At 51.2% G+C, this 20,476-nt stretch overlaps 1 protein-coding gene across 25 annotated transcripts in view, besides 4 other annotated features; it reads left to right on the top strand.

Moving 5' to 3' along the window:
• RAPGEF1 (Rap guanine nucleotide exchange factor 1) overlaps positions 1-7,383 on the top strand; it is a 163,302-nt gene extending 155,919 nt beyond the window's left edge. For all 25 annotated transcript variants that reach the window (NM_001377937.1, NM_001377938.1, NM_001304275.2 and 22 more), the window contains 3 exons: positions 1,456-1,553; positions 3,767-3,895; positions 4,511-7,383. In NM_001377937.1, coding sequence (NP_001364866.1) covers positions 1,456-1,553; positions 3,767-3,895; positions 4,511-4,661 — 378 coding nt within the window. In that variant the 3' untranslated portion in view covers positions 4,662-7,383. The remainder of the gene's footprint in view (positions 1-1,455; positions 1,554-3,766; positions 3,896-4,510) is intronic.
• Positions 4,730-4,809: an enhancer, noted in NCBI's record as "active region_29195". NCBI's record gives its function as "activates an Ori minimal core promoter by ATAC-STARR-seq in GM12878 lymphoblastoid cells {active_cell/tissue: GM12878}" and the evidence as "EXISTENCE:reporter gene assay evidence [ECO:0000049][PMID:35858748]".
• Positions 5,010-5,139: an enhancer, noted in NCBI's record as "active region_29194". NCBI's record gives its function as "activates an Ori minimal core promoter by ATAC-STARR-seq in GM12878 lymphoblastoid cells {active_cell/tissue: GM12878}" and the evidence as "EXISTENCE:reporter gene assay evidence [ECO:0000049][PMID:35858748]".
• Positions 5,170-5,219: an enhancer, noted in NCBI's record as "active region_29193". NCBI's record gives its function as "activates an Ori minimal core promoter by ATAC-STARR-seq in GM12878 lymphoblastoid cells {active_cell/tissue: GM12878}" and the evidence as "EXISTENCE:reporter gene assay evidence [ECO:0000049][PMID:35858748]".
• Positions 15,571-16,070: an enhancer, noted in NCBI's record as "H3K4me1 hESC enhancer chr9:134443475-134443974 (GRCh37/hg19 assembly coordinates)". NCBI's record gives its function as "activates a minimal SCP1, AML or CMV promoter by ChIP-STARR-seq in primed H9 embryonic stem cells {active_cell/tissue: H9 hESC(primed)}" and the evidence as "EXISTENCE:reporter gene assay evidence [ECO:0000049][PMID:30033119]".

Raw genomic sequence — 20,476 nt, 5'->3', positions numbered from 1 at the left:
TGCCCTCCCGCCTTCCTGTCTCTGATCCCCAATCTTCAGGCCCCCGGGAGCTTCGAGGTTGGTTCTGGGGTGGTCACATCCCGGTGTTCTGCTGCCACCCAGCAGGCCCATCCCTGGGTTCCCGCCTCCCCCGCCCGCCCTCAGCCCGTTCTTCTGAAGGGTCTGCTTCGGGCCGGGCACTGCGGTAGGTGCTGGGGACGCACTGTGAACAGCCCAACATGATGTTGGGTGAGTTTCTGCTAGATAAGCACTAAAAGAAGAAGGGTGGGCAGGTGGGCCAGCCCAGAGGAAGTGTCACTCATGCCACCATCTGCAGAGGAGGAGGAGTTTCCTGGGAAGGGAAGAGAATCAAAGGGGACAAAGGAGTGCACAGCCAGGAGCAGGTGGGGGTCAGCACCTCCAGGGACAGGAGGAGGCCAGGGGACCACATCCCGGGAGAAGGGGACCAGTTCTAGGTCATGAGAGCCTCAGGAGCCTGGTGAGGAGTTGGACCTTTATCCTGTGTAGGGAAATAATATTGCAAATGGGGGCAAAACCCATGGCTTTTGAGTGTCAGCCAGGCCACCCAGGGGTCATGTCAGGGACCCAAGTTCAGCCAGGCCACCCAGGGATTGTGTCAGGGACCTGAGTGTGACCAGACCACCCAGAGGTCATGTCAGGAACCCGAGCGTCAGCCAGGCCACCTGGGGGTCGTGTCAGGAACCCGAGTGTGACCCAGGCCACCCAGGGGTCATGTCAGAGACCCGGGTGTCAGCCAGGCCACCCAGGGTCTTCTTGTTCAAGCCCATGTTCAGGGATGGTTGTAAGCTAGTGTATGGGGAGAGGTGGGAAATTCACACGGCCTCTGCATGGGGGGTCCTCAGGAGGCAGCACTTCAGGGAGAGGCACGTAACAGGAGAAGAGGCAGGAGAGGGGCCTTCTGAGTGGGGCAGGGCTGGCTGAGTCTCCTAGGTGGGAGCCCCCCACCCCTGCAGGAGAGAAGCCACCCAGCCCTGGGGAGGGCGAGGTCACATGCTATCTTTAGTTGGTCCTCCCTGAGTACAGGGCAGAGCAAAGGCAGCTCCGAGTCAGGAGTGACGCCACTCAGTGTGTGCCTGGGAAGCTCCTCTGGCTGCACCGCCGAACAGGGCCAGGCAGGAGCCCATCTTCCGGGATGTCGTATACACACAAGCGCTGGCTGCCCAGGCACAATGAGTACTGTGGGGTGTTTCTCCACAAAACGGCCTGAAGTCCCCTGTGACCAGGGGTTGGGCTGACACTCGTTGAAAAGGACAGAATCCCTGCTGGCCAGGGCCAGGACCCACACCTGGCTGGGTGTTTGTGCGTAGTGGGACCTGTGGAGTTGGGCAGAGGGTGGTTGACCCTCCAGTTAGTGAGGAGGACCAGGGCTCTGCCCCAGCATTGCCCCAGCACTCGCTCACCCCTGTCCGGTCCTGTCCTGTCCTGTCCTGCCAGGGCCTGGCCGAGTACTGCACACTGATCGACAGCTCGTCCTCCTTCCGAGCCTACCGGGCCGCCCTCTCGGAGGTGGAACCGCCGTGCATCCCGTACCTGTGAGTAGCAGCCCCTCCAGGCCCCCAGCCCCGCCTGGGTTTGCCTCCATTGCTCTGGGGAAGATCTGTCAGGCTCCAGCAGAGAAATCTTAATTTAGGGGTTTCTAACGGAGACATTTGTACTTGGTTTTACTTAAGGTTCTTGTAATACAGTTATAATGCATAATATACAATACATATATATAATATAATATATAATGCTTCTTATAATACAGTTTAAACAGAAAAGAAGCGCTCAGGTGAAGAATACGGGTTCTCCTTTCCCAGCCCCCAGCCCCACTCTCATTTCCTTCTGTAGCCTGCCCGTGAGCATGTGCAGCCATGCTTGTGACAGATGTATGGCTCCTCTCCCCACACATGGCATCACACAGTATTCCAGTGTCCTCACACGTGGCTGCGCATTAGAACAACCTGAGGATGCACGGCCACCCAGGGACCTTGAGAGCCTTGGTGTAAAGAAGTTCAGAAAGTGCTTCCTGAGCGTGGACCATGGGCGAGAGGAAATATGTGTTTCATAGAAAAGGGACGTAGCGGAATAACCAAAACCAAACAAGTGTCTGTTGCAGGACTTACGAGAGCCTTTAGTATATACTAGTAGACACTGAGAATCTCCAAGAGACCAAAAGCGCAGCAGCATCCCAGTGCTGAGTGTTCAATGGCACATCCTATAGGGTTACTGCAGGGCTGCCCTCGAGGCCTCAACCCTCAGAGATACAAATCCCCAGGCTTCCTGCTCTGAGCACTAACAGTCTTTCCCACTGTGGCTCTACATCTGCTCCCTCAAGCTGAGTTCTCCCTGAGTGGAGGAACTGCCCCTGTCTTTCTCATCTGGCCTTAAGTCCTCTGCAGTCAGAAGCACCTATTAAGTTACTACACCTTGTTTGTTTCTTTGTTTCTTTGTTTGTGATGGAGTCTCACTCTGTCACCCAGGCTGGTATGCAGTGGCATGATCTTGGCTCACTGCAATCTCTGCCTCCTGAGTTCAAGCAGTTCTCCCACCTCAGCCTCCTGAGTAGTCGATGGGACTACAGGCATGCGCAACCACGCCTGGCTAATTTTTTTTTTTTGTATTTTTTTTAGTAGAGACGGAGTTTCACCATGTTGGCCAGGCTAGTCTCAAACTCTTGACCTCAGGTGATCCACCTGCCTTGGCCTCCCAAAGTGCTGGGATTACAGGCAGGAGTCACCACACCCAGCCAGTTTCTTTGTTTAATAAAGACGGAGTCTCTGTCACCCAGGCTGGAGTGCAGTGGTGCAATCATAGCTCACTGCAGCCTTGAACTCCTGGGCTCAAGGAATCCTCCCACATCGGTCTCCTTAGTAGCTGGGATTACAGGTACACGCCACCATGCCCAGCTAATTTTTGTATTTTTTGTAGGGACGAGGTCTTGCTATGTTGCCCAGGCTGGTTTCAAACTCTTTTTTTTTTTCTTTTTTTGAGACAGAGTTACGTTCTTGTTACCCAGGCTGGAGTTCTTGTTACGTTCTTGTTACCCAGGCAGTGGCGCAATCTTGGCTCACTGCAACCTCCGCCTCCCAGGTTCAAGTGATTCTCCTGCCTCAGCCTCCCGAGTTGGGATGACAGGTGTGCACCACCATGCCCGGCTACTTTTTGTATTTTTAGTAGAGACAGGGTTTCACCATGTTGGCCAGGTTGATCTCAAACTCCTGACCTCAGGTGATCCTCCCACCTTGGCCTCCCAAAATGCTGGGATTACAGGTGTGAGCCACCACACCCAGCCTAGCTGTTCTCAAACTCTTGAGCTCAATCCTCCTGCCTTAGCCTCCTATAGTACTGGGATTACAGGTGTGAGCCATTGCACCCAGCCCACCACACCTGTTAATAAAAGGAGATCTCTGCCCCTGCCCCCTGGTTTGGGTTTTGTTATTTTTTTTTTTTACTGCTCATTTGTTAATGTTACTTTAGCAGCCCACAGCTTCGCCCTTATGGGTTGAGCCATGGCAGCCGCATCACCCTCAGGCTCCTCATCAGCATACTGGCTTCCGAGGTCCCCAGCAGGTGCTTGTGGAGCCAGAGGCCAGAGGCTGAGGCGGGAGTTTGTTCTGGGAAACAGACACCTCAGACTGGCTCTTTGGTTTGCTCTGGGGTTTGGAAGCTGCTCACTGCGAGTCCTAGCGCCTGACACATGTCTCTAGCCCTTGCTGCTTCCAAACCCCGTAGCAGTAACAGGCTGCCTAACCCGTCCTCCCAGGGGGCTGATCCTGCAGGACCTGACCTTCGTTCACCTGGGAAACCCAGACTACATCGACGGGAAAGTGAACTTCTCCAAGCGGTGGCAGCAGTTCAACATCCTCGACAGCATGCGCTGCTTCCAGCAGGCGTGAGTGCCACTGCCCCGGGGGGACCAGGCAGAGCTGAGCCCCGGGCCACACACAAGGAGAGACAGCCCGGGACACCGAGGGGAGGGGGAGCCACAGAGGACCCAGGGACCTGCCACTGCTGAGATATAGTCCGGGCCCTTCAGTTTCTGCCAGGATGACTTGAGAGCATGCCCACCAGGCTCCATGCCAGGCCTAGCCTGGCCCTGGGCCTGGACCCCGTGACAGCACAGCTCGTCCTCCCATTTTACACACCAGAAGCTGGTGCCCACCTTGCTGTGAGAAGGGCCTGACAAACCCTGGCCTGCCTGACTCTGAGGCACCAGAGCTCCCCCAGGGCGGGCCCTGGCATGCGTTGTTGGGGGCAGTGGGATCACCTGGGGCCCCCTCCCTGTGAGCAGCCCAGCCTCAGGGCCCTGTTTGTGCTCCATGTGCTGGTGGCACCGTCTCTGAGCACTGGTGTCCCCTCTGTCACATTGGTCAACGGTAGCCCCTGCAGCATCCGTTTGCTGCGAGGCTGTGGGGATGGTCCCCGCGGCACCTTCCAGGAGGGTGGCGCCATCGGGCCATCCAGCCCACACAGGTGCTCACTGACTGCTCCCCATCCCCTGCACCAGGCACTATGACATGCGGAGGAACGACGACATTATAAACTTCTTCAATGACTTCAGTGACCACCTGGCTGAGGAGGCCCTATGGGAACTGTCTCTGAAAATTAAACCCAGGAACATAACAAGGAGAAAAACAGACCGGGAAGAGAAGACCTAGGAGCAGACGCCGGGATCCAGGAGAATGCTCGAGGGGCGCAGAGGGCAGCTCCCAGACCGGAGAGGACCTTGGACCTGTTAGGCGCATGGCAGGAGTCCCGGCCTCGGAGCCATGAGGCTGGCCAGCCCTCAGCGGGGCCGGGCGGGAGCTGGAGCCTGCCAGCCGCTTCCTGCCTCCTTCCTCTGTGGGAGCAGACCCGTGGGCCTCAGGGCAGCCAGCAGGCAGGTCTTGTTGCCAATTTACAAACCGGTGGTTTTCTGGTTTGGTTTTGTTTTCTGCTTTTACTTCCATCTCTCCCCTCTTGACCTTCCACCCACTCCCCTCCAGGGAGAGAGCAGCAGAGACCTCATCAGCAGACCAAGGAAGTGGTGGGTGCTCCCCCTCCCTAAGCTCCAGGGTCCCTGAATCTTCTGAAATCTCAAATGAGTGGAGGCCTCCTGGGGTGGCCTGTCCTGCAGGGGCCCTGGAATGGGGGCAAGCAGCTGGGTGGGCAGAATGCAGAGTAGACTCGGGGGAGGATCCTTTCACTTTCCGCTTCCCCTTCTGATGCATGGAGGATGGTGTGAGCTTTTCAGCAGGCCCGGAAAGGTACGCAGGTGACGCCTTAGCAGCCCCGCAGCTGGTGCTCTGCCCCGCGGTACTGGCGCCATCAGGGCCTCCCTTGCCCGCCTGAGAGCAGCAGCAGTCTCTGTCATCCCGTCGCCCCTTACCCCCCACCCCAGGCCACTGGGCCCCTCCCACACCACCTGGGGAGCTGAGAAGAGGAGGCTGGAGTAAGGGAGGACTTGATCATCCAAGAAATACTTTTTATTGCTGGGAGTCTTCTGAACCTCACCAAACTGAGGCCAGAGCTGAGCTCCTGGGGGAGTTAATTCAGAGGGGAGAGGCCAGCACCTCCCTCCTCCATCGCTCGCTGTGTGCCTTAAACTCCATCTCATGTCCCTCCCCATCCCCTGGCTTTCCCTCCCTCCTTGCCCCATCCTGGGCCAGCCAGCAGGGCTCCTCCTCTGGCTCTTCAGACCTTTCAGCCAGTGCTGTCAGTGCCCCTGGGAGGGAAGGGCATCCCTGAGGCACCCGAATGGTCCCTCAGGGTGCAGGGAGGCAGAAGCCTGGCCACAGAGGAGCCTCCTAAGGCAGCAGCTGCAGCAAGCGCACCCTCTCCCCACTCTCCCCACGCCAGAGCGGCTTCCAGAGCAGATGCTGTTTCCATCCTCCTCGTCAAAACCATTCTCGCTGCTGAGCTTGACAATCTGGGCAAGGCTTGTGGGGCGCTTGACAAACAGAATCTGCCCTGTGCCGCCTGGTTCCGTGGCCTCCAGCATGAGCCTGCAGGCAGGGCGCTGCGGGAACCCAGTTGTGCTGCCCCAGCCCATGCCTCCGGGTCTGCTGTGCATGAATGAGTGCTCACTTGTCCCGGGTTTAGGACGTGGTCAAGTGAACAGCAGGGTCTAACTGTGCTTACTTAGCCCAGTTCAAACAGAACAAAGGAAAAATATAGAAAGCAACATCTGTTGATCATTTAGGTTTTTTTTTAAACCACCATGTCACTTTGAGTCCTTCATGGGTTTTTGAACAGCATTTATCAAGAAGAAAATGTGGGCTTTTTCCCCTCTCCCGTGTTTTGTTTGTCCTGTAGATAGAGGGAGGAAAGCCGTGCAGTGGCAGGCGGGACCCCCTCTGGTGGCGGGACCCCCTCTTGCGGTGGTCTTGCGGGGCCAGCCGGGACCTGTCACTTTATTATTTAAGGAGTGTGTGTGTAGAGTCGCTGGCTTATTAACAGTATTGTGTGTGGGTTGGGTTTTTAGTTTGTTCCTTCTTTTTGAAGTCCCTTCATTTCAATCCTTGACTCTCTCTCCCCTTCCCTTGCCCAGCTCTGTTGAATGCTGCTGTGCGCGTGTGAGGGCCGCTCTGCACACAGGGCCCTTGGGTTGTGTGAACTGAAATTCTCCCTGTATTTGTGAGACTCGCAGGAGTCCCCATCTGTAGCACAGGCAATGCCAGTGCCATGCTGCAGCCTCAGAAACCAGGCCTCTCACTCCAGCAGCAGGCAGAACCGTGTCTGTGGTCGGGTGCTGTCCACAGCTCTGTCTGCCTTGTTCTTGGGCTTGAGCTGGATAGAGGTGGGGTCTCTTCACCTTCCCTGAATTCAGAACAGACCCTGTGCCTGGCCCCAGTGTGCCCAGGCAATTCCCCAGGCCCTCACTGGGAGCCCTTGGTGTTCTGAGCAGCAGGGCCCAGGCAGCACATGAGCAGTGCCCAGGGGCTCCCTGCGTGAGGACGGCAAGGTGCGATGTATGTCTAACTTATTGATGGCAGGCAGCCCCCTGTGCCCCCTAAGCCTGGCCCTGGTTATTGCTGAGCTCTGTGCTCAGTGCTGCGGCCTGGCCGTGGCTCGTCTGTTCCTTTGGGGGGCCCGGGCGGGTTGTGGGAATCAGTCTTCACAGACAGACGTGAGCCAGGCGGAGGACTCGTTCCTTGCAGAGGTCAGTCCTCACCTGCAGGTGTCGGGGTGTGGGGGGGCAAGGAGGGGCAGGCACACACCATGTCTGACCTGAACCCGATTCTGGGGAGCATCTTCCCGCTCCGGCCCCACGACCTCCACAGGGTTACATTGTAATATATATGCCCCAGCTAACCTGTCTGATGGTGGCATCTTCCTGCAGACATTTCAAACATGTAACTTTTATATGAAAAAAAATAAACACAGATGAAAGCTGCCCAATGCCATGTCCGCGCCCAGCTGCATGTGTGCAACTACAGTGACAGCCCAGCCTGCTCCATGCTGGCCTTGCCATCTCTTTTCTGAGACCCCTGTCGCAGGCGGGGCTCCTGGGAGGCTGGGGTCATTCAGCTCCACTCCCAGGCCCACTTGCTGCCATTGGGGTAGTCGTGGCTGAGTGAAATGGACGTCACCAGAACTTTCCCTCCTAGGCCTTGTGCCCTAGAAGCATTCAACTGGACAAAGAATTGCTCGTGCTCCAGAGGTCGGTTCATGCACAAGAGCCCCTCACCCCAGTGTCCTGATGAAAAGGGCATTCCTCGGGTGGGATTCGGGGGCACAGGCTCTAGAATTGCTCCTTCGGGGCCCGGAAGCACTGTCTTTATGGCGTGCCTTTTGCGGTGTGTCCTCTGCCGCCCAGGAGGCAGCACACAGAGGCTCGGGCCCAGCCCCAGTGAAGAACAGCAGAGCCTCTGCACTTACAAGGGACAGAGTGAGGAGGCCCCAGGGATTCCAGTCCCTTCTCTGCCCCGAGGTGTGCTGTGTCCCCTCCATGCGGAGTAAGGCACGGGGCCCAATGGCTCTGGGAGGCCATTTGTCTCCCTGTCTTCCTTGTCCTCCCACACCACAGCCCACCTGTGCCCCATTGTTTCCATCCTAGCACCTGAGACCAAGCACCCCAGCATAGCCACCCAGGGATGGCGGGGATCAGGGCCAGCCCTCATATTCACCCTGGTTCCCAGTCCCCAACTTTCAGCCCCACGGCGGCCCCTGGGGAAGCCCAGGATCTCTGCATCTCTCTGTACCTGATCGTGCAGAGGTCAGGCCTGGTGAGGAGGAGGCATCTCCCCTCATGCCCCGCAAAGGCAGCAGCTTAAGTCTGTCCCTTTAAAGGGAAGGGGCCAAGTATTCCTGGGCTGATCACAAGATCTGATAGAAGGGACCCTGCATCAGGCAGGCATCAACCATCCAGAGCTGTTGGCTGCCTGTGTGTCAGGCGCCAACGCCAAAGCCTCCATGAACCTCGTAGGTGATGGAAGCCCAGGTTCTCTCTTTTGTTCCTTGTGTCCTCGGGCAGATTGCTCAGCCACTCATGCCTCAGGCTCCTCATTATCTGCTTTTGTCCATTTCGACCAATGAGCACACAGAAGCCCGAGAGAGACCAGTCCACTCCTGAGTCCTCCACTCGCATCTCCCTCCCCTGCCAGCAATGCCAGGAAGCTGGTCTGGCCCCAACAACCCCAGTGAGCAGGAGGTGATGTGCCAGGTATGGACCTCAGGCCTCAGCCTTCCCACCAGGGCTGCGGGGCAGCAGCTGCTGCGACCCACCCTGGTCTTTGGTGACCGGCAGACCGCGAGATTCACCAAGGGAGCCGCCATAGTCACGGAGGAAACACCTTGGCTTCCACCCCACCCCCACAGTGTCCCCGCCCAGGACCTGCGAGTGTGCATGCTTAGCCAGTAACCCAGGAGGCTCAGATGCCTGCTCCAACCAAGAACTGCGGTCCCCCCGAAGGTGTCTGAGCTGAGGGCCCCAAGCCTCCCACCTGCTCTGACCTTGCAGTAGGTCGACAATCTGGGTCCCGCCCCCAGTGGTGCAAGGCTGGAGAATGGGGTATGATGGCTGACTGCTCATTGTTCCCCCTGTGGGATGGGAGGCAGGCCCCAGCATTCATTCAAACCTTTTTTTTCATTCATTCACTAGGGGTGCATTATTTAGGAAGCAGTCAAGGTGTGGTTCGGGCCATCTGAGTCCCTCATTGGCTGCCAGCAGTCTGGGGGAATATGTCCTTGGCTGCAAAGGGCTGTGTCCTGACTCTGCAGCTGATAAGCAAAAGGACCCTGGGTAAGTGGTTTTCTTCTCTGCTTGGCAGTTTCCCCAGCTGGAAGTGGGGTAATAACAGACTCTGCTTTCTAAGGTCTCACAAAGTTTCAATGAGTTAATACTTGGATATAATAATATTTTGGGGTACCAAGCACTTTGCAGACTGCTTTACCTCATTCACTTCTCTTAATCGAAAAATCACACAGGCTGGGTGCAGTGGCTCATGCCTGTAATCCCAGCACTTTGGGAGGCCGAGGCAGGCGGATCACATGAGGTCAGGAGTTCGAGGCCAGCCTGGCCAACATGATGAAACCCCGTCTCTACTAAAAATACAAAAATTAGCTAGGCATGGTGGCAGGCGCCTGTAGTCCCAGCTACTCAGGAGGCTGAGGCAGGAGAATGGCGTGAACCCGGGAGGTGGAGCTTGCAGTGAGCCGAGATCACACCACCACTCCAGCCTGGGCGAGAGCGAGACTCCTAAAAAAAAAAAAAAACCCGGGTATGGTGGTGGGTGGTGGGCGCCTGTAATCCCAGCTACTCAGGAGGCTGAGGCAGGAGAATCGCTGGAACATGGGAGGCAGAGGTTGCAATGAGCTGAGATCGCACCACTGGGCTCCAGCCTGGGTAACAGAGTGAGACTCTGTCTCAAAAAAAAAAAGGGAAAAACTAAACTTGTTTTATGAATGGAATATAACCTTGACATCGAATCAAAACAAGGACAGTACAAGATAATTACAAGTCCGTCTGATGTATGAATACTGATACAAAACTTATAAAATCATCTTAGCAGCCCCAAACCAGCATCACATAAAAATCAGTCCTTCCTGACCAGGTTGGGCTTATCTCAAAAATACAAGGATGGAATAATTTCAATCAGTTAATGGATGTCACTGACCCCATGCTAGACGCTGCTGCTCCACACGTCTGGTTTGCATCTCCTTCCTGGGCACACAGGGGACTACACTTCCCAGCCCCCTGCCTGAGATCTGAGAGGCAGACACATGTCACTGTGGGCTGGGCGTTTAAGGACTATTGTGCAGCTCCCTACTTAATCTTTCCCACCCGCGGTACTCCTGGAGTCTGGGTGTTGAGATGGCAGAGCCCCAACTTGGGGGAGCCTGGTCAGGGAACACCCCACTCACCCACACGGGGCTTGCTTGATGTGAATGAAAAATGAAGCCATGGAGACCAGGGTTTTTTTTCACGGCATGGCCTCGCTTCTCCCGAATGTACCACGTTAACAAATTAAAGGGAGAAAGCCATAGAATCACCGCAATAGTCACAGAACAGCCTTTGTTAAAAATGCAACATCCATTCTTTTTTTTTTTTTTTTTTTTTTTTTTTTTTTTTTTTTTTTTTGAGACGGAGTCTCGCTCTGTCGCCCAGGCTGGAGTGCAGTGGCGCGATCTCGGCTCACTGGAAGCTCCACCTCCCGGGTTCACGCCATTCTCCTGCCTCAGCCTCCCGAGTAGCTGGGACTACAGGCTCCCGCGACCACACCCGGCTAATTTTTTGTATTTTCAGTAGAGACAGGGTTTCACCATGTTAGCCAGGATGGTCTCGATCTCCTGACCTCGTGATCCACCCACCTCAGCCTCCCAAAGTGCTGGGATTACAGGCGTGAGCCACCGCACCTGGCCATTATTTTTATTATGAATAACAAAAATTCAGGGTTTCGCTTTTGTCCCCCAGGCTGGAGTGTGTGGCATCTGCTCACTGCAACCTCGACCTCCCAGGCTCAAGCGATTCACCTCACCCTCCCAAGTAGCTGGGCATATAGGCACGCACCGCCAGACCCAGCTAATTTTTTATTTTTTGTAGAGACCAGGTTTTACCATGTTGGCCAGGCTAGTCTTGAACTCCTGAGCTCAAGTGATCCACTCATCTCGGCTTCCCAAAGTGTAGGGACTACAGACGTGAGCCACCACAGCCGGCCAAAAACCTTTTTGTTAACTAGAAATAGAAAGCCTCTTTAATCTGATGAAGGTTAACTTCCAAGATCGTATAGAGACATACTTAATTGTGAAATATTCAAAGTGCTTCCTTTAAAATCAGAAACAAGAGAATGATCCCACTAACTCCTTGTCTGTTCATTGTACTGGAGATCCTTGCCAATGATGTAAGAAAAGTAAATGACTGAGAGATGAACAAGAAAATCTATCAAGGTGGCTAGCTATACAACCAAATAAAAAGTTCAGCATATTCCTATATACAGTCAGTCAGCAATCAGAAAATGTAATCCTTTTTTTTGTTTGTTTTTTGAGGATTTGGGGTTGTTTTCTGTTTTGTTTTTGTTTTTGTTTTTGTTTAATGGTGTCTTGCTCTGTTGCCCAGGTTGGAGTGCAGTGATGTGGCCACAGCTCACTGCAGTCTCAAACTTCTGGTCTCCAGCAATCCTCCCACCTCAGCCTCCCAAGGAACTCAGATTACAGGCACGTGCCACCACGCCCAGCTTCAAAAAATGTAATTCTTAAAGGACCCCATTTATACTAGCATCACAAGTCTTAAGGTCCTAGACCAGCAAAAGATGTGTGAAACCTTTATAGGAAAAATGATAAGATTTTATTAAAAACCATAAAAAAAAAACCTTAATAAATTGAGAGGTGTGAATGTTTGTGGATAGGAAAATTAACTTTCTGGGAGTTTTTTGAGACAGGGTCTCAACTCCCATCACCCAGGCTGCAGTACAGTAGTGTGATCTTGGCTCACTGCAACCTCATATTCCTGGACTCAGGTGATCCTCCCACCTCAGCCTCCTCAGTAGCTGGGACTACAGGTGCATGCCACCACCTCCAGCTAATTTTTTTTATTATTATTTTTAGTAGAGACGGGGTTTTGCCATGTTGCCCAAGCTGGTCTCGCACTCCTGGGCTCAAGCAATCCACCTGCCTTGGCCTCCCAAAGTGCTGGGATTACAGGCATGAGCCACCACACCCAGCCAATTTTTGTAAAGATGTCACTTCTCCCCCAGATAATGTATAAATTCAAAACTATTCCAAAGGAAATCAAAGAAGGACTTTATGTGGTCCTTGATGAAGTTAATTCTAACATGTGTTAAAGAATTACCACTCTGGCGATTCCACCCAGCCATCCTGCTAGGAAAGCTTGATCAGATTTTAAAACCCTACCTGCAGTCAGGTCAGGTGGCTCTCACCTGTAATCCCAGCACTTTGGGAGCCCTAACTGGGTGGATCACTTAAGATCAGGAATTCAAGACTAGCCTGACCAACATGGTGAAACCCCGTCTCTACTAAAAAAGAAGGTACAAAATTAGCCAGGTGTGGTGGCGCATTCCTGTAATCCCAGCTACTTGGGAGGCTGAGGCAGGAGAATCGCTTAAACACGGGAGGCAGAGGTTGGAGTGAGCTGAGATCGCGCCATTGCACTCCAACCTGGGCGACAAGGGCGAAACTTCGTCTCAAAAAATAAAAATAATAATGTAATATATATAATAAAACCCTGCCTAAAGTCATCAGAGAACTAGGAGAGAAGGAGGAATTACTGGGCCAAGATTCAGGAAGAGACAGGAGGGAAGCCTGACACCTGGGGCCATGTAATGTAAAGGGCGTCTGACAATTCCAGATGACGTGGCCGAGGAACTGAGCAGAACTTCAGACAAAAGAGTAGTTAAGGAAAAAAGGGGAGAGTCTAGAACTCACCAGGCTTTGAATTGAAACCTCAGGGAGCTGCCCTGCAGGTGGAAGGGTGACCCATGACAAGTATACCAACCCTCACAGGGACAGAGCCAGCTCCAGATGGTCTCAGTCCCTGAAACTGGATTAAGATGATTCTGGACACCTAGCAACCCAGGCACTTGCCAGAAACAAAGGCAAAGAAACTGGAGAGGTTTGGCCAGGCACGGTGCCTCACGCCTGTAATCCCAGCACTTTGGGAGGCCAAGGCGGGTGGATCACAAGGTCAGGAGATTGAAACCATCCTGGCTAACACGGTGAAACCCTGTCTCTACTAAAAATACAAAAAATGAGCCGGGTGTGGTGGCAGGCGCCTGTAGTCCCAGCTACTCGGGAGGCTGAGGCAGGAGAATGGCAGGACAGGGAGGTGGAGCTTGTAGTGAGCCGAGATCGAGCCACTGCACTCCAGCCTGGGCGACAGAGTGAGACTCCGTCTCAAAAAAAAAAAAAAAAAAAAAAAACTGGAGAGGTTAACATCATCCTAGGTCTCTAGTTATTTCTTAATTTTTCACATACGGCAAAACATAACTAGGGCACAAGCATTTCCTGCTGAAAAAAAAAAAAAAAAGAAAAAAAAAACAGAAGCATTTGACAGAATCAGTCCCCCGAAGGCTGAAATTTGGAGTTCTTAAATGTGGCTGTGAATGTGCAGTGCTTAACTATGTTCTAGGAGTGACACAAGCCTGAGAAATTTGGCAAATAATTAGAAAATATAAACAGGACAAATGGAAATTCTAAACCAAAAAATACCTCATATGAAGAACTCAGTGACTGTTTAAGAGCAAAATTAGTGACCTGGAGATAGGTTAGAAGCTGTGGGTGGGCTGGGCACGGTGGCTCACGCCTGCAATCCCAACATTTTGGGAGGTGGAGGCAGGTGGATCACTTGAGGTCAGGAGTTCGAGACCAGCCTGGCCAACATGGTGAAACCCCATATCTACTAAAAATATAAAAATTAGCTGGATGTGATGGCGGGGGCCTGTAATTCCAGCTACTTGGGAGGCTGAGGTAGGAGAATCCGCTTAGAGTCCAAGAGGTGGAAGTTGCAGTGAGCTGAGATCACGCCACTGAACTCCAGCCTGGGAGACAGAGTGAGACTCCATCTCAAAAAAAAAAAAAGACGATGTGGGTAGAATGCAGCATGAAGAGACACAGGATGGAGCAAACCAGGTAGGAGGAGACCCAGGGATAGAAGTCCTGAGGGTAAGTGGACCAGCAGAAAGGAAAAGGTCAGAGCAGAAGCAAGGAATGACTCCCGTGTACATCAGTGTTCACAGCAGGATTATTCACACTGGCCAAAAAGGGGAGAGGACCCAAGGGTACAACAGCTGGTGAAAGGATTAACAAAATGAGGTATTTCCATACAGTGGAACACTTTAGCAATCCAGAGGAATGAGCTGACACATGCTGCAACATGGATGAGCCTTGAAAACATGGACATGGCCAGGCGCAGTGGCTCACGCCTATAATCCGAGCACTTTGAGAGGCCGAGGCATTCAGATCACTTGAGGTCAGGAGTTCGAGACCAACCTGGCCAACATGGTGAAACCCTGTCTCTACTAAAAATACAAAAATTAGCCGGATGTGCTTGCTTGAACCTAGAAGGTGGAGGTTGCAGTGAGCCAAGATCGTGCCACTGCACAGAGTGAGACTCTGACTCAAAAAAAAAAGAAACATGGAGGCCAGGTGGGGTGGCTCATGCCTGTAATCCCAGCACTTTGGGAGGCTGAGGCGAGTGGATCACAAGGTCAAGAGATCAAGACCATCCTGGCCAACATGGTGAAACCCCATCTCTACTAAAAATACAAAAAATTAGCCGGGCATGGTGGCGGGTGCCTGTAGTCCCAGCTACTTGGGAGGCTGAGGCAGGAGAATCACTCGAACCTGGGAGGTGGAGGTTGTCGTTAGCCAAGATTGCACCACTGCACTCCAGCTGGCGACAGAGCAAGACTCCATCTCAAAAAAAAAAAAAAAGAAAAAGAAACATGGACATGAAAGAAGCCAGATGCAAAGGGTGTGTTATCACATGATTCCATTTATATGAAATGTCTAGAAAAAGCAAATTTATAGATACAGAGAGCAGATTCATGGTTGTCTGGAAGTGGAAACAGACGGACTACAAAAAGTGCATGAGGGGCCAGGCACGGTGGCTTACGCCTGTAACCTCAGCGCTTTGGGAGCCCAAGGCAGGCGGATCACCTGAAGTCAGGAGTTTGAGACTAGCCTGGCCAATATGGTGAAACCCCGTCTCTATTAAAAATACAAAAATTACACAGTGGCTCACGCCTGTAATCCCAGCACATTGAGAGGCTGAGGTGAGCAGATCACTTGAGGTCAGGAGTATGAGATCAGCCTGGCAAACAAAGGAAAACCCTGTCTCTACTAAAATACAAAAATCAGCTGGGTGTGGTGGCGGGCACCTGTAGTCCCAGCTACTCAGGAGGCTGAGGAAGGAGAATTGCTTGATCCCAGGAGGTGGAGGTTGCAGTATGCCGAGATCACACCACTGCAGTCCAGCTTGGGCGACAGAGCGAGACTCCCTCTCAGGAAAAAAATATATATATACAAAAATTAGACCGGTGTGGCACACACGGGGCTGTAATTCCAGCAACTCGGGAGGCCAACGCATAAGAATCGCTTAAACCTGGGAGGCGGAGGTTGCAGTGAGCCAAGATCGTGCCACTGCACTCCATCCTGGGTGACAGAGCGAGACTCTGTCTCAAAAGGAGTACATGAACGATCTTTGGGGATGATGGAAACTTAAATATTGGATCACGGTGCTGGTTGCACAATTCTGCAAATTTAAAATAACTGAATCATATACTTAAATGAGTAAATTTTATGATATGTAGATTATACTTCAATGGTTTTCCTAAACCTACTGGCCAATTATCATGTCACTGCTTCTCATGTCCAAGTCCACCCTTCATTACCTGCTCTGCAATGAAGAGGTCTCCTTTGCAGTGGGCATGTTAAGTTCTGTCAATAGAGACGCTGGAGAGACACTGCTGGCGGAAGGCCCTGGCCTTTTGTCCTTGCTCTGGCTCAATGGCTGCTAGAGACATGTGTGGAGACCTGCCCCTACCGCACACCTGTCACTTCGGCCCCAGTGGTGTTATGGTGGCCACCTTGCTGTGGCCGTCCAGGCATGGGTAATGCACACCTCACCCTTGTGCCACCCTGCTGGCCAGCAGGTTCCCAACACCCCAACTCCCAACGCATGCCCGCCCACCAGCCTCAGCCCACCTGCACCTCAAAGGGACTTGCCCAGCCCAGTGAGCCAGCTCTGGCCCCGGGGCCCAGTGAGTGCTACCTCCCAGTAGGCTGCACTCACACCTTCTCCAGTGACTTCTCAATCCCAGCCATGGGGATTGGGCCCTTCTAAGTTTTTTCTTCTTGGGTACTCACCTTCAGCCCTAGAGCATTCTTTAGCACTCACAGTTTCTCTTCTCGTCGGGTTATTCTTTATATTAATCTTTTCCTGTCCAAATTACTCTCTATGTCTCCTGATCAGTCCTTGACTGGAAGCATCAAGCCTTGGATTCCAGAAGCCTTATGAACCCCCAGGCAGGATAATAAATAAGAAGAATACACCAAAGCACAGCATGATGAAGCTTTTGAAAACTAAAGAGAAAAAGAAGTCTTTTTTTTTTTTTTTTTGAGATGGAGTCTTGCTCTGTCACCCAGGCTGGAGTGCAGTGGCGCGATCTCGGCTCACTGCAAACTCCGCCTCCTGAATTCACGCCATTCTCCTGCCTCAGCCTCCTGAGTAGCTGGGACTACAGGCGCCCGCCACCACGCCCGGCTAATTTTTTGTATTTTTAGTAGAGACGGGGTTTCACCGTGTTAGCCAGGATGGTCTGGATCTCCTGACCTCGTGATCCGCCCGCCTCGGCCTCCCAAAGTGCTGGGATTACAGGCGTGAGCCACCGCGCCCGGCCTGAGAAAAAGGAATCTTTAAGCAATCATACGGGGAAAAAGGGCCCATCACCTTCAAAGGAGCCACAATTAGACTCCTCAACAGACATGATTGAGGCTGGAAGATAAGGGAATGGTATCTTCTTCAAAGCCGAAAGAATAGGACCACGATCCAAAATTCTACGCTCACTGAAAATACCTTTCAAGAATGCAGGTGGCCGGGTGTGGTGGCTCACGCCTGTAATCCCAGCACTTTGGGAGGCCGTGGCAGGTGGATCATGAGGTCAGGAGATCGAGACCATCCTGGCTAACACAGTGAAATGCCGTCTCTACTAAAAATACAAAAAATTAGCCAGGCAAGGTGGCGGGCGCCTGTAGTCCCAGCTACTTGGGAGGCTGAAGCAGGAGAATGGCATGAACCTGGGAGGCCGATCTTGCAGTGAGCCAAGATCGCGCCACTGCACTCCAGCCTGGGCCAAAGTGCGAGACTCCATCTCAAAATAAAAAAAAAAAAAAGAATGCAGGCAAAATCAAGATATTGTGAGATTAAAAAAACAGAAAACTCACCACTGGCAGACCTACACTAAGCAAAGACTCAACTTTCTCAGGCAGAAGTGAAATGATCCCAAATGGAAGATCATACTTGCAGGAGAGAATGAAAGAGCAACAAAAAGAGTGAACAGGTGGATAAATGAACACTCGCTATGTAAAACAGCCATGAAAATGTCTTGTCTGGGCACGGTGGCTCATGTCTGTAACCCAACACTGGGAGGCTGAGGCAGGTGGATCACTTGAGCCCAGGAGTTCAAGACCAGCCTGGGCAAGCAACATGGCAAAACCCCATCTCTACAAAAACTACAAAAATTAGCCAGGTGTAGTGGTGAGTGCCAGTAGTCCCAGCTACCTGGGAGGCTGAGATAGGTAGGAGGATTGCCCAAACCTGGGAAGTGCAGCTGCAGTGAGCCGTGATCGCCACCACTGCACTCCAGCCCGGGCAACAGAGTGAGACCCTGTCTCTAAATAAATAAATAAATAAAAATTAAGTTACAAGTACAGAAAAGTTGAAAGTAAAATTTTGGGGAAAGATACACTTTGCAAATATGGTCCACCAAAAAAAAAAACCCCAAAGCATAGCTATATTAATATCAGAAAAAACAGACTTCAAGGCAAAAGGCATTGCTAGAGTTACAAAGGAAACACTTTGTAAAGATACAAATTACACCCAACAGATTTAACAGTTTCTAAATTTGTATACACCTAATTACATGGCCTCAAAATATGTAAAGCAAAAGCTGACAGTACTACAAGGAGAAATGGATAAATCTATGATTCTAGTGGGAAGTGCTAACACACATCTCCCAAACATATGAGGAATAGAAAACATCAAATCTTAGCCGGGCGGAGTGGCTCATGCCTGTAATCCCAGCACTTGGGGAGGCCAAGGCAAGTGAATTGCAAGGTCAGGAGTTCGAGACCAGCCTGACCAACACAGTGAAACCCTGTCTCTACTAAAAATACAAAAAATTAGCTGGGTGTGGTGGCAGGCGCCTGTAATCCCAGCTACTTGGGAAACTGAGGCAGGAGAATTGCTTGAACCCAGGAGGTGGAGGTTGCAGTGAGCCAAGATGGCGCCACCACACTCTAGCCCAGGAAACAGAGTGAGACTCCATCTCAAAAAAAAAAAAAAAAAAAGGAAAAGAAGAAAAGAAAATGTCAGATCTTATACAACACTTCCAAAAATGAAAATGAGAAACATTTTCAACTCTTTTGATGAGACCAACGTAACTATGATACCGAAACTATAACAAGAACGAAAGTTACCGTCCAATTTCACTCATGAACACAATGCAAAAATCCTAAACAAAATTTTAGCAAAGTGAAATACAGAAAGTATAATAATACATCCTCATCAAGATGAAGTTATTCCAGGAATGAAAAGCTATTTTAACATTTGAAAATTAATATGGTAACATAAGTTACCATATTAATGGATTAAATCTGATCATTTTCTCAGTACACATGAAAATAAAATTCAATATCTATGCATAGTTTTTTAAAACTCTTTGTAAACTAGGAATAGAAGGGTACTTAACCTGAAAAAAAAAAATCTGTTTTTTTAACAAGATGAAATGTTGAAAGCCTTAATTTTGAGACTGGGAAAATGACAAGGTTGCCTGCTGTCAGCACTCCTATTCGGCATTATAATAGGGGTCCCGGCTAGTGCAATAAGGCAAGAAAAATACCCAAGGTGGGTAAGAATTGAAAAGGAAGACAACTCATTATATATAGATAACATTGTGTATAGAAAACCCAACAGAATCTACAGATAAATTATCAGAATTAAGAAGTGAATTTGGGGCTGAGCACTGTGGCTCACACCTGTAATCCCAGCACTTTGGGAGGCTGAGGTGGGAGGATCACATGAGGTCAGGAGTTTGAGACCAGCCTGGCCAACATGGTGAAACCCTGTCTCTACTGAAAATAGAAAAATTAGCCAGGTGTGGTGGAGCACACCTGTAATCCCAGCTACTCAGGAGGCTGAGGCAACTCCAGCCTGGGCAACAGAGTGAGACTCCTTCTCAAAAAAAAAGACAAGTGATTTTGGGGCGTGGTGGCTCATGCCTGTAATCCCAACTGCTTGGGAGGCTGAGACAGGAGAATCCCTTGAGCCCAGGAGTTTGGGGCTGCAGTGAGGTACAGTCACACCACAGTACTCCAACCTGGTTGACACCCTATCTTAAAAAAAAAACAAGGCTGGGCAACATAGGGAGACCCCATCTCTACAGAAAAATAAAAAAATAGCCAGGTGTGGTGGTGCACACCTGTGGTCCTAGCTACTCGGGAGGCTGAGATGGGAGGATCACTTGAGCCAAGGAGGCTAAGAATGCAGTGAGCTGTGATCACACCACTGCACTCCAGCCTTAGTAATAGAGAAAGACAATGTGTCAAATATACATATATATGTATATACATACACATGTATATATATATACACACATATATGTATATATACATATATATGTGTATGTATATACATATATATGTGTATATATGTGTGTGTGTGTGTGCGTGTGTGTGTGTATATATATATATATATAGCCCCATAATGAAGTGTGATAGTGGCAAAGAAATAGGCAAACAGGGCTGGGCGCAGTGGTTCATGCCTGCAATCCCAGCACTTTGGGGAGGCCAAGGCAGGCAGATCGTGAGGTCAGGAGTTCAAGACTAGCCTGGCCAACATAGTGGAACCCCGTCTCTACTAAAAATACAAAAAAATTAGCTGGGCATGGTGGCACGTGCCTGTAGTCCCAGCTTACTCTGGAGGCTGAGACAGGAGAATCTCTTGAACCCGGGAGGTGGAAGTTGCAGTGAGCTGAGATCACGCCATTGCACTCCAGCCTGGGTGACAGAGTGAGACTTCATCTCAAAAAAAAAAAATAATAATAGAGCTCTGGAACCTATTCTAGGCTGGTGGCAGATCTAACTGTGAAAATAAGCAATGAGGCCAGGCACAGGAAGGCAACGGTTGCTCACGCCTGTAATCCTAGCACTTTGGGAGGCAGAGGTGGGCGGATCACTTGAGGTCAGGAGTTCAAGACCAGCCTGGCCAATATGGTGAAACCCTATCTCTACTAAAAATATAAAAATTAGCCGGGCATGA

The sequence above is a fragment of the Homo sapiens genome, chromosome 9 (assembly GCF_000001405.40).
Source record: "Homo sapiens chromosome 9, GRCh38.p14 Primary Assembly".
NCBI classification, from domain to species: Eukaryota; Metazoa; Chordata; class Mammalia; order Primates; family Hominidae; genus Homo; species Homo sapiens.
Note: the sequence above shows the minus strand (reverse complement) of the source record. Positions and strands in the feature narration are given on the sequence as shown.